General features: G+C 43.2%; 1 protein-coding gene across 2 annotated transcripts in view, besides 3 other annotated features; it reads left to right on the top strand.

Annotated features, from left to right (window-relative positions):
* The first annotated feature begins 9,165 nt into the window (after nucleotides 1-9,165).
* Nucleotides 9,166-12,073, top strand: part of APPBP2 (amyloid beta precursor protein binding protein 2) — an 83,085-nt gene continuing 80,177 nt past the window's right edge. For both annotated transcript variants that reach the window (NM_001282476.2, NM_006380.5), the window contains exon 1: nucleotides 9,166-9,614. In NM_001282476.2, coding sequence (NP_001269405.1) covers nucleotides 9,601-9,614 — 14 coding nt within the window. In that variant the 5' untranslated portion in view covers nucleotides 9,166-9,600. The remainder of the gene's footprint in view (nucleotides 9,615-12,073) is intronic.
* Nucleotides 9,337-9,476: a silencer, noted in NCBI's record as "silent region_8794". NCBI's record gives its function as "represses an Ori minimal core promoter by ATAC-STARR-seq in GM12878 lymphoblastoid cells {active_cell/tissue: GM12878}" and the evidence as "EXISTENCE:reporter gene assay evidence [ECO:0000049][PMID:35858748]".
* Nucleotides 9,547-10,255: an enhancer, noted in NCBI's record as "NANOG-H3K27ac-H3K4me1 hESC enhancer chr17:58602514-58603222 (GRCh37/hg19 assembly coordinates)". NCBI's record gives its function as "activates a minimal SCP1, AML or CMV promoter by ChIP-STARR-seq in primed H9 embryonic stem cells {active_cell/tissue: H9 hESC(primed)}" and the evidence as "EXISTENCE:reporter gene assay evidence [ECO:0000049][PMID:30033119]".
* Nucleotides 9,557-9,826: an enhancer, noted in NCBI's record as "active region_12531". NCBI's record gives its function as "activates an Ori minimal core promoter by ATAC-STARR-seq in GM12878 lymphoblastoid cells {active_cell/tissue: GM12878}" and the evidence as "EXISTENCE:reporter gene assay evidence [ECO:0000049][PMID:35858748]".

Below are 12,073 nucleotides of genomic sequence, written 5' to 3'. Positions count from 1 at the left end.
CAGGATGTTTTACCTGTGCTTCTGACGGACTGGCTATAAATCAGGGTTTTCATGTCGCTCTTCTTGGGTTTGATTAATTTGCTAGAGTGGCTCACAGCTCAGGGGAATGCTTACTTACATTTACCAGTTTATTATAAAGGATTTTTTTTTTTAATTGAGACAAAGTCTCACTCTTGTTGCCCAGGCTGGAGTGCAGTGGCGCGATCTTGGTTCACTGCAACTTCCAACTCCCTGGTTTAAGCGATTCTCCTACCTTAGCCTCCCGAGTAGCTGGGATTACAGGTGCCTGCCACCATGCCCAGCTAATTTTTGTATTTTTTTTTAGTAGAGATGGGGTTTCACCATGTTGGTCAGGCTGATCTCAAACTCCTGACCTCAAGTTGTCCACCTGCCTTAGCCTCCCAAAGTGCTAGGATTACAGGCATGAGTCACCGTGCCGGGCCAGGATATTTTAAAGGGTACATATTGTAAAAGAAAATAAAAACAGGACCCTCTAAATTTATTATGCCACGTAAGAAGTTAAGTCCTGGAGACCGAGTCACATGGCAAGTTCGCAAGTTCTGCTTCTTAGATTATAGATTAATTCTCTTCCTCATTGTTCTTGTTTTATAAATGACTAAGGGAAACTACAGCCCCTCCCCTTCCAATCACTCATCTTTGTTATAGATTAACTGCCTCCTTTATTGTTGTGTACCTAACTCAGAACAGAGGGTGCAAAAGACCCCACGACTGCTACATCTTCAGTGTGTAGTATTAAATACACCTTTCCTGAAAGAAAAAGACCACCTGACTAATCAGATTGTTGTAACTATGCATTAAGCCTTATATAGAGCTGGATGTAGTGGTTGGCACCTGTAATCCCAGATACTCAGGAGGCTGAGGTAGGAAGATCCCTTGAGCCCGGCAGTTAGAAGCTGCAGTGAGCTATGATTGTACCACTGGACTACAGCCTACACAAAAAATAAGACCCTGGAGAGACAGATGTTGAAATTCTGTTAAGCTTCCCCAATCTGTCTATATAAACAATCCAAACTTCACATTCACAAAACACTGACTTCCATCCTTTGGAATCTGTGTTTCCCAGGAGGCTGTCCTTAAACTCTATGCTTGAATAAACTCTCTTTAAACCAGACTCTGGCTGGGTGAGGTGGGTCACACCTGTAATGCCAGTGCTTTGGGAGGTCAAAGTGGGAGGATTACTTGAGCACTCCAGCCTGGACAATACAGCAAGACCCTGTCTCAATAAATACATAAATAAACTAGATTCTCACCCTCTTAACTATTTTAGGTTGACAAAATGAACAGCCAGATTAAGAGATACATAGGGTGAGGAGGTCCAGAAGGGTCCCAAGTGTAAAAACTTCCATCCTCATGAAGTTGGGGTGAACTGCCTTTTAGACACGTAGATGTATTTTTCTTCAACTTCTTGGAAGCCCCCTGCACTCGATCCTTCTGGTTTTTATAGAGGCCTCATTACACAGTCACGACTCATTAAGTCATTGGCCATTGGTGGCCTTTAGTCCCTCTTCTCTCCCTGGAAGTGGAGGGTAGGGCTATGAGTTCCAACGCTCTGGGCACTTGGTTCACGTTTGGTTTATACGTCACCTTTTAACCAATGCCCTCTTTGGCTATTATATCCAAAATTACTGCTTTCCCTTCAAAGTTAACCTGTCTCTGGTGATACCCTTTCACTTATTCCCCACTTCACCCAGTAATAATCTTGTCTGGGCACTTCTTCAGAATATCTGCGAGCTTTAGGGCAGGAGAGTACTCTGATCTGATCTGATTGATGACTTAGAAAGAAAACTGACATGTAGTGTGAGACTGTTTTGGGACTAGAGGCTATAAATGAGGGTTATTCTTTAGAATTGCTTCCCTATCATTCTCCCATTTTAAATAAGCATCCCTTGATGTGGAAATATATCTACATTTTAGACGGAGTCTCACTCTGGAGTCTCCCAGGCTGGATGGCAGTGGCACCATCTTGGCTCACTGCAACCTCTGCCTCCCAGGTTCAAGCAATTCTCCTGTCTCAGCCTCCCAAGTAGCTAGGATTACAGGCATAAGCCACTGCACCTGGCCCAAAAAAAGATTTAAATTTTTAATTTTTGTGGGTACATAGTATATATATTTTTATGGGATACATGAGATGTTTTGATACAGGCATGCAGTGTGAAACAATCACATCATGGAGAATGGGGTATTCATCTCCTCAAGCATTTATCCTTTGTGTTACAAACAATCCAATTACGATCTTCTGGTTATTTAAAAACGTACAATTGTTATTATTAACTACAGTCACCCTGTTGTGCTATCAAATAGTAGGCTTTATTCATTCTTTCTAGTTTTTGGTAGCCTTTAACCATCCCCATCTCCTTCCCAACCCCCGACTACCCTTCCCAGCCTCTGGTAACTATCCTTCTACACTCTGTGACCATGAGTTCAATTGTTTTGATTTTTAGATCCGACAAATAAGTGAGAACATGTAATGTTTGTACTTCTGTGCCTGGCTTATTTCAGTTAACACTAATGATTTCCTGTTCCATCCATGTTGCTGAAAATGACAGGATCTTTTTTTTTTTTTTTGAGATGGAGTCTTGCTCTGTCACCAGGCTGGAGCGCAGTGGCGCAATCTCAGCTCACTGCAACCGCTGCCTCCCACGTTCAAGTGATTCTCCTGCCTCAGCCTCCCAAATAGCTGGGACTAGAGGCGTGCACCACCATGCCCAGCTAATTTTTGTATTTTTAGTAGAGACAGGGTTTCACCATGTTGGCCAGGATGGTCTTGATCTCTTGACCTTGTGATCCGCCCACCTCGGCTTCCCAAAGTGCTGGGATTACAGGTGGGAGCCACTGCGCCTGGCCTGGATCTTGTTTGTTTTAAGGCTAAATAGTACTCTATTGTGTATATGTAACACATTTTCTTTATCCATTCATTTGTTGATGAACACTTAGGTTGCTTCTAAATCTTAGCTATTGTGAATAGTGCTGCAACAAACATTGGAGTGCAGGTATCTCTTTGAAATACTGATTTCCGTTTTTTTGGGTCTATACCCAGCAATGGGATTGCTGGATCACATGGTAGCTCTAGTTCTAGTTTTCTGAGGAACCTCCAAACCATTCTCCATAGTGGTTGTACTAATTTACATTCCCACCAACAGTGTATGAGGGTTCCCTTTTCTCTACATCCTTGCCAACATTTGTTATTGTCTGTCTTTTGCATAGAAGCCATTTTAACTGGAGTGAGATGATATCCCATTGACTACTCCTGCTCTTTTTTTGGTTTCCATTGGCATGGAATATCTTTTTCCAACCCTTTATTTTTAGTTTATGTGTGTCTTTATAGGTGTAGTGTGTTTCTTATAGGCAACATATCAATGGGTCTTGTTTTTTCACCCATTCGGCCACTCTGTGTCTTTTTATTGAAGAGTTTAGTCCATCTACATTTGATATTACCATTGATAAGAACTTATTCTTGCCAGAAGCGGTGGCTCACACCTGTAATCCCAGCACTTTGGGAGGTTGAGATGGGTGGATCATGAGGTCAGGAGTTCGAGACCGGCCTGGCCAACATGGTGAAACCCCGTCTCTACTAAAAATACAAAATTAGCTGGGCTTGGTGGCGCATGGCTGTAATCCCAGCTATTCAGGAGGCTGAGGCAGGAGAATCGCTTGAACTCAGGAGGCAAAGGTTGCAGTGAGCTGAGACTGTGCCACTGTACTCCAGCCTGGACAACAAGAGCGAAACTCTGTCTCAAAAAAAAAAAAAAAAGAACTTATTCCTGTCATTTTATTTGTTTTCTAATTGTTCTGTGGTCTTGTTTCCTTCCTGTGTTTTCCTCTAGTGAAAGTGATTTTCTCTGATATTATTTAGTTTCCTGCCTTTTATTTTTTGTGTATCCATTGTATGTTTTTTGGTTTTAGGCTAACATGAGGCTTGCAAATACTATCTTATGACCCATTATTATAACCTGATAACAATTTAACACTATTTACATAAACAAACAAGCAAAAAAAAAAAAACTAACAAAAACTCTATGTCTTAACTTCATCTCTGTTTTTTAACTTTTTGCTATTTCTATTTATATCTTATATAGTCTATGTCTTGAAAAGTTGTCACAGTTATTATTTTTGATTGGTTCATCATTTAGTCTTTCTACTTAGAATAAGTAGTTTCTACACCATGGTTATAGTGTTATAATGTTCTCTATTTTTCTGTTTATGTCCTATTACCAGTGATTTTGTACCTTCAGATGATTTATTGCTCATTAATGTCTTTTTCTTTCTCATTGAAGTATTCCCTTTAGCATTTCTTGAAGGACAGGTCTGGTGTTGAAATTCCTCAGCTTTTGTCAGGGAAACCTTTATTTATCCTTGATCTTTGGGAGTTTGATTATTGAATGCTTTGAGGTAGTCTTCTTCGGGTTAAATCTGTTTGGTGTTCTATAACCTTCTTGGACTTGGATATTGGTATCTTTCTCTAAGTTTGAGGAGTTCTCAGTTATTATCCCTTTGAATAAACTTTCTACATCAATCTCTTTTTCTACCTCCTCTGTAAGGTCAATAACTCTTAGATTTGCCCTTTTTAGGCTATTTTCTAGATCCTGTAGGCATGCTTCATTATTTTTTATTCCTTTTTCTTTTGTCTCCCTGATCATGTATTTTCAAATAGCCTGTCTTCAAGCTCACTAATTCTTTCTTCTGCTTGAATAATTCTGCTACTAAAAGACTCGAGGCTGGGTGTGGTGGCTCACACCTGTAATCCCAGAACTTTGAGAGGCTGAAGCAGATAGATCACTTGAGCCCAGGAGTTCAAGACCAGCCTGGGCAACATAGCAAAACTCTATCTCTACAAAAAATACAAGCCGAGCATGGTGGTACACACCTGTAGTCTCAGCTTCTCAGGGGACTGAGGCAGGAAGACTGCTTGAGCCTGTGAGGCTGAGGCTGTAGTGAGCTGATATCCTGCCACTGCACTCCAGCCTCAGTAACAGAGTATGGCCTTACCTCAAAAAAAAAAAAAACAAACAAAAAAAGATTCTGATGCTTTCTTCAGTATGCTAATTACATTTTTCAGCTCCAGAATTTCTGCTTCTTTTTAATTATTTCGATTTATTTGTTAAGTTTATCTGATAGAATTCTGAATTCCTTCTTTCCATTATCTTGAATTTCTTTGAGTTTCTTCAACATGGCTATTTTGAATTCTGTCTGAAAGGTCTCATATGTCTGTTTCTCTAGGACTGGTCTCTGGTGGTTTCTTTAGTTCATTTGGTGAGGTCATGTTTTCCTGGATGGTGCTGATGCTATAGATATTCTTCACTCTCTGGGCATTGAAGAGTTGGATATTATCAGTCTCCAGTGTCTGGGCTTGTTTGTACTTGTCCTTCTTGGGAAGGCTTTCCAGGTATTTCAAAGGACTTCACTACTGTGATCTAAGCTGTATCTGCTTTAGGGGGCACCTCAAGCCTAGTAACGCTGTGGTTCTTGCTGACTTGTAGAGGTACCACCTTGGTGTTCATGGGTAAGATCCAAGGGAATTCCCTGGATTACCAGGCAGAAACTCTTGTTCTCTTCCCTTACATTCTTTAAACACAAACAGTCTCTCTCTCTGTGCTGAGCTGCCTGGAGCTGGGGGAGGGATTACCCCGAACCCAATAACACTGTAGTTCTCTGAAGTTCTTGCAGACTCTTAGGGGTACCACCTTGATGGTCAAGGACAGCATCTGGGAGAAATTCTCTGGATTACCAGGCAAAGACTCTTGTTCTCTTACCTTACTTTCTCCCAAACAAATGGAATTTCTCTCTCTGTTCTGAGCCACATAAAGCTGGGAGTGGAGTGACAGAAGTACCTCTGTGGCCACCCCCACTATGACTGGACTGGGTTAGAGATGAAGCCAGCATAGCATTGGGTCTCACCCAAGACCTGCTGTAACCACTCCCTGGCTACTGCTTATGTTCACTCAAGGCCCTGGGGCTCTACAATTAGCAGATGGCAAAGCCATCCAGGCGTGTGTCCTTCCCTTCAGGGTGGCGAGTTCCCCCAGGCCCTGGGTAGGTCCAGATGTACAGTCCAGGAGTCAGAGACTAGAGTAAAAAATCTCAGAAGTCTACCTGGTGTTATACTGTATTGCAGCTGAGCTGGCTCTCAAACCGTAAGACACAGTCCTTCCTACTCTTCCCTTTCCTTCCCAAAGGGAGACTAGCCTCACTCTGTAACCACCATCACCACAGGCCACAGGGAGTACTGCCAGACTTCCACGGATGTTTCCTTAAGGCCCACGGCCTCTCAAGTCAGTGTGTGGTGAATGCTGTCTGGGCAGAGACTCAACCGTCAGGGCAGAAGGCTCTACTCTGGACCAGGGCAGGTCAGAAATGCCATTTAGGAGTCAAGTCCTGGAATCAGGAACCCCAAGGGCCCACTTGGTGCTCTACCCCTCTGTGGCCATGCTGGCATCTGAAGCCAGCAAGTCTCAGAGGTTCACCCAAGGTCCTCAACATAGTATCTGGGTATATCTGCTGGTCATTTAGGGCCCAAGGGCTCTTCAGTTAGAAGGTGATGAATACTGCCAGGACTAAGTCCTTCTCAGGGGACTTATCCTTTCTGGCAGTTTATCTGCTCTTGGTCACGACCTCCTAGTCCATCATACACATCTGAATAACTTTCAATCTGAAAGCAGTGAAGAAGGGATCAAGAGGCCCTTCCATCCAGAGTCCCCTTTGTGACTATATACATTTTTTAATGTCTAACTCAGTCATATGGTTTTGCTCTGTGTCCCCACCCAAATCTCATCTTGAATTGTACTCTGATAATTCCCACGTGTTGTGGGAGGGACCCAGTGGGAGATCACTGAATCATGGGGGTGGTTTCTCCCACGCTGTTCTTGTGGTAGTCTCATGAGATCTGATGGTTTTATAAGGAGAAACTCCTTTCGGTTGTCTCTTTTTGCCTGCTGCCATCCACATTAAGATGTGACTTGCTCCTCCTTGCCTTCCACCATGATTGTGAGGCCTCCTCAGCCATGTGGAACTGTAAACCCAATAAACCTCTTTCTTTTATAAATTGCCCAGTCTCAGCTATGTCTTTATTAGCAGTGTGTAAACGGACTAATACACTCAGCATCTAAGGTCCATAAAGCAATCAATATGTGTGTCTGACACACCTTTACCTGTTTACAGGAGCTTAATACGGGTCCTGATTTAGCCAAAATGTCCAAGAACATGTGCATTCAATGTTAGGGGATTCATGGATCCCTTTAGGTAGGATTGCTGGATAAAATACAGGTGTCCAGTTAAATGTGAGTTTCAGATGAACAACAAAGTTTTTTGTTGTTGTTGTTTTCTGAGACAGGGTCTCATTCTGCCACCCAGGCTGGAGTGCAGTGGCATGATCATGGCTCACTCAACATTCTGGGCTCAAGTAATCCTCCTGCCTCAGCCTCCTGAGTAGCTAGGACTACAGGTGCACACCACCACATGTGGCTATTTTTTTTTTGTAGAGATGGGGTCTTGCTATGTTGCCCAGGCTGGTCACAAATAAGTTTTTAGTATAAATATGTCCCCTGCAATATTTGCAGAGATAATAATTATTCTTTTATGTGGGGCAGGGATCCTGATCTTCAAAAGCGCCAGTGTCTAAGAAGTGATGAAGGATTTGCTGAATGAACTGATACACTTGAGTGGCTCCGAAGGCATGAGCAAAACTATTGCACAGAACATACTTACATTTCAAAACCATTTGTTGTTTATCTGACATTAAGATGTGACTGGGCACTTGTAATTTTTTTTTTCTTTTTTTTGAGACGGAGTCTCGCTCTGTTGCCCAGGCTGGAGTGCAGTGGCGCGATCCTGGCTCACTGCAAGCTCCGCCTCCCGGGTTCACGCCATTCTCCTGCCTCAGCCTCCCGAGTAGCTGGGACTACAGGCGCCCGCCACCACGGGCTAATTTTTTGTATTTTTAGTAAAGACGGGGTTTCACCGTGTTAGCCAGGATGGTCTCGATCTCCTGACCTCGTGATCCACCCGCCTCGGCCTCCCAAGTGCTGAGATTACAGGTGTGAGCCACCGCGCCCAGCCTTGTAGTTTTTTACTTGCTAAACTGGCAATCTGATCTTGAGGCCATCCACAGCTTTCCTAGGTTCACAGTATAGAGTAAGAATTTATATAGACTGAAGAAGATTAAGAGTGTTTATTTTTTGTGGAATTATTTAACCACTTAACACTGAAGTACCAGGTGAAGGGTAAATTGAAATAACTCTTTCCACTTCTTTTAGCTCTAAATATCAATCAGGACATTATTATTATGGCTGTTTTCTGGACTTACATCGTTATAGAGTGACTATGAGTTTGATAGTGTCACCAACAATTATGGCCAATAATTTCCATGGTAAATTCCTAGAACAGAAAGATGTTGCATCAAATTCTTGAAATCGCAGACTTAGGAAATTAAGTTACATAAACAGCAGATGTTCAGGCTGAGGAAGGAAAGAAGCTGAAACAAGTACTCCCAATTATTCAACAATCCCTTGAAGCCGCCACTGTAACTCTGGGAATTGAAATACCATTAAGTCCTATCACGGCCACCACTTAGCCTTTTTTCTCTTACTATTATTTGTAATTCCATAATCAAGCTAGTTTTCCTACGAAGTTCTGGGGCAGGAGTTTTCTTTTTTCGGAAATTTCATTTGGATAAAGAAACATGGTCAAAAAGTTACAACGGTGCAAATGGTTATACAAAGAAAAACAAGTCTCTCTTCTATCGTTACCCCTAGTTCCTGGACCGCGGGTTCTTAACTTGGGTTAGGAACTGCAGTCTAAGGGTTTCTAGAGTAATGTGAATTTTCTCAATGCATAATTTTCAATGTACAGATAATTTTGCTCGTTTGTGGGGAGAGGATCCAAACTTTTACCTGAGCCTCAAAAGGGTCCGTGATGCAGAGAACCTGCTGAAGTAACCGATGGCCCCGAGTGACTCGGAACAGGGGGCGCAGATATCCTGTAATAATTTGTCCCCGTGTGAAAAGTCTACCCCTATCCACTCCACTCCACTCCACTCCGGGGCCGCTTGGAAGGGACGCTCTCCGTGGGAGGCATCCAGCTCTTCCTAAGTTTTCCGCCTGCCGCATTCCTCCCCTCCGGCGCGCCGGCGTGCGCTTACGTCATGACGCCGCACACGCAGCCCCGCCCCTGCAGAGATCAGCGCTGGGACGGAACCCGGGTTCCTCTCGAACCGGGATTGTGACGCTTTTGGCCTGGCTGGCCGCTGTTTTCTGTCCCACTTTTTACTCGGGCCTGCGTCCGCTGCCGCCGTCCCTCAGTTTGCCCCCGGAGGAGGCAGGGCGGCCGTGCCTTCTGCCGTGCGCCCGCGTGGCTGCCACCGCCCCTCCGAATCCTCCGGGGCCGCAGAGGGGTTCGCTACGGAGGGAGGTGGGGGCCTTCGGGAGGAGGAGGCGGAGGAGGCGGAGGAGGAGGGAAGGAAGATGGCGGCCGTGGAACTAGAGTGGATCCCAGAGACTCTCTATAACACCGCCATCTCCGCTGTCGTGGACAACTACATCCGCTCCCGCCGAGACATCCGCTCCTTGCCCGAGAACATCCAGTTTGATGTTTACTACAAGGTATGCGCCGTGGGCCTCCTCTCTGCTCTCCTCCAGCAACCCCGGGGGCCGCACCCCCTTCCACGTCTGCGAACCCCCGCAGTTAACCCCTCACCCCTTCCGGCAGACTTGCCTCCCGAAACGTCTGGTGCGGTGTCTGCATTGCCAGTGGAGAAGCACCCCATCTCCCTATGCCCTGTCTCTTAAGCTTTGGGGCCTTGAAGTAATCTTGGGGAGTCTTGCTCCCTGTTGGTGTTCCCTTCTACACAGTGGCCCTCTTGGGTAGGCCTTTTGCGTGGACTTACTCTATCGCGCCCCTGTCCCACCTAGTCCTTTCCTTCTAGCCCGTATCTTCAGGATATTTTCCATCCTCTCCTTCCAATTAAGTGTCAGCATCAGCTGGACTTTTTTCCGTGCTCCTCCCCCCACCCATTCCTACTTTCTCATCTCGCCGCCTTCCTTCCCCGAGTGTTTTGGTGTTTTTGCTTCGTGTTCCTTCGTTTCTCCTTTCTTTTCCCAATTGGGAAGGAGTTAGGGATTATTGGAAATAATCTGTGTGTTTTATTTGCATATTCTTTAAAGCTTTGATTTTTTTGTGGGAGAGGAGGGGCTCTATACTTGAATTAGGGATTTTGTGAAAATGGGAGTGCTGATCAACTGTTTGAAGAGGACAGGGAGAGATCTTTACTGAAAGAAAAAAACACTTTAGATTATGTTCCTGTGTTTGAAAGTTGCAATCTTGCAGCATTCTTAAATCACTCCCCCTCAAAAATCTGAACAGCAAGTCTCCCAAGCCACTCTCCAAGGAGTTTCAAGGGTAAGTGTCCTTAGATGTGGACTATTTTTGCAGTGTTTTCAGAGTGTGGAGAACTTTATGGACTCAGAGCCTGCCCTTTTCTCTCCCCCACATTTGAATGTGAACACTGGATTTATTATTCAGTCTTCCTTGTCTTGAATCCGCGTCGATAACTCCTAGTGTCCAGTAGCCACCCATGCAAAATGTGACTAAAAGTAGAATGTAATTTATTTTTTAGACCTTAAATACTTCCTCTTGATCTGTAAGTTGGCTGGAACAGTGTAAACTGATATTTTAACAGATGTTTATGTTCTTACGTATGTACAGTGTTTTGTGGCAGTTGTTTTATTGGGAAGATTGCCTGCTTTCTCCACCCCTAGATTTTTTTTTTTTTTTTTTTTTTTTTTTCAGAATTAGCAGTTGATGGGCTGCGTTCTACTAAATCCAGCTGCTTTGCACCAATTCTAACAATTAAAGTGGGGTTTCCCCCCTAAATATTTGGAGAAGATTCATTTAGGTCATGCGTATTATTATTTTGGATTTCGAGAAAAAGCTCCCTTTTTTCCTAATCCCTTTGATACATTGATTTACTTTTGTGTATTCTAAGGAAATTTTGTTCATTTAAGATACATTCCTCCCCAGGAAGGACAAATTAGATTTGTCTTTCTCAGCCTGGGAAACTGCAGCTTTGTGTGTGCTCTCTGTCCATTTTATTAAATCATGTGTAATCTTGTACCTCATATGTAATCTCTCAGAGGAAATCATTGGGAATGTAATCCAAGTGTATTTACTAGTTGAATTCGTTCAAAATACTTGAATATCTTTTAGTAACTTTCACTTCTAATTGAAGCTTTTCATTTGAAGATTATTAGTATGAATAGATGGTGCTTTTGTTAGAATTTCTGTTTCACATAGTTCACACAGTTTTAATATTGCTCCTTTTTGGTACACTTTTACTTCTTAATAGTTGTATGCTTATTGGGAGTATGGCACTGTGCTAAGATGAGGGAAGTGTTAAACATGTGCCTGTAACTATGTTGTGCTTTTATGTGTTATTTTGTTTAATCTTCAGAATTAAACTGTGAAGTAGAGTACAGTATAACCTTGCTTTATTGGTGAGAAAGTTAAGTAATTTAATTAAGGTCTCAAACCTGATATTTAGTTCCTGAGTTCCTTGCTCTTTTACTTAGATATCTATCTTAAGATAGTAGATTATTTTAATGAAAGATATTATAACACTAATTTTTTTATTAGCTTCTATGGAAGTGGAGTGAAAGTCAGTCCCAGGACTCTATTCTAATCTTTAATGGAGATGTAAGAAGAAATTATTCTTTTTATTAAAATTTAAAAAAAATAGAGATGGGGTCTCGCTGTTTTGCCCAAGCTGGTCTTGAACTCCTGGGCTCAAGCTATCCTCCTGCCTCAGCCTACTGAGTAGCTGAGACTACAGGCATATGCCACCGCACCTGACTTTTCTTCCTTTTAAACACTATTAGCATATACATATAAGAAACTTTTTTTGTGGAGACAGGATCTTGCTCTGTTGCCCAGGCTGGAGTGCAGTTGTGATCATAGCTCACCGCAACCTTGAACCCCTGGGCTTAAGCAGTCTTTCCATCTCAGCCTCCTGAGTAGCTGGAACTACAGGTGTATGCCACCCATGCCTAGCTAATTTTTTTTTTTT

The sequence above is a fragment of the Homo sapiens genome, chromosome 17, assembly GCF_000001405.40.
Source record: "Homo sapiens chromosome 17, GRCh38.p14 Primary Assembly".
Classification (NCBI taxonomy): Eukaryota; Metazoa; Chordata; class Mammalia; order Primates; family Hominidae; genus Homo; species Homo sapiens.
The sequence above is the reverse complement of the archived record's forward strand: the minus strand, read 5'-3'. Positions and strand labels throughout refer to the sequence as shown.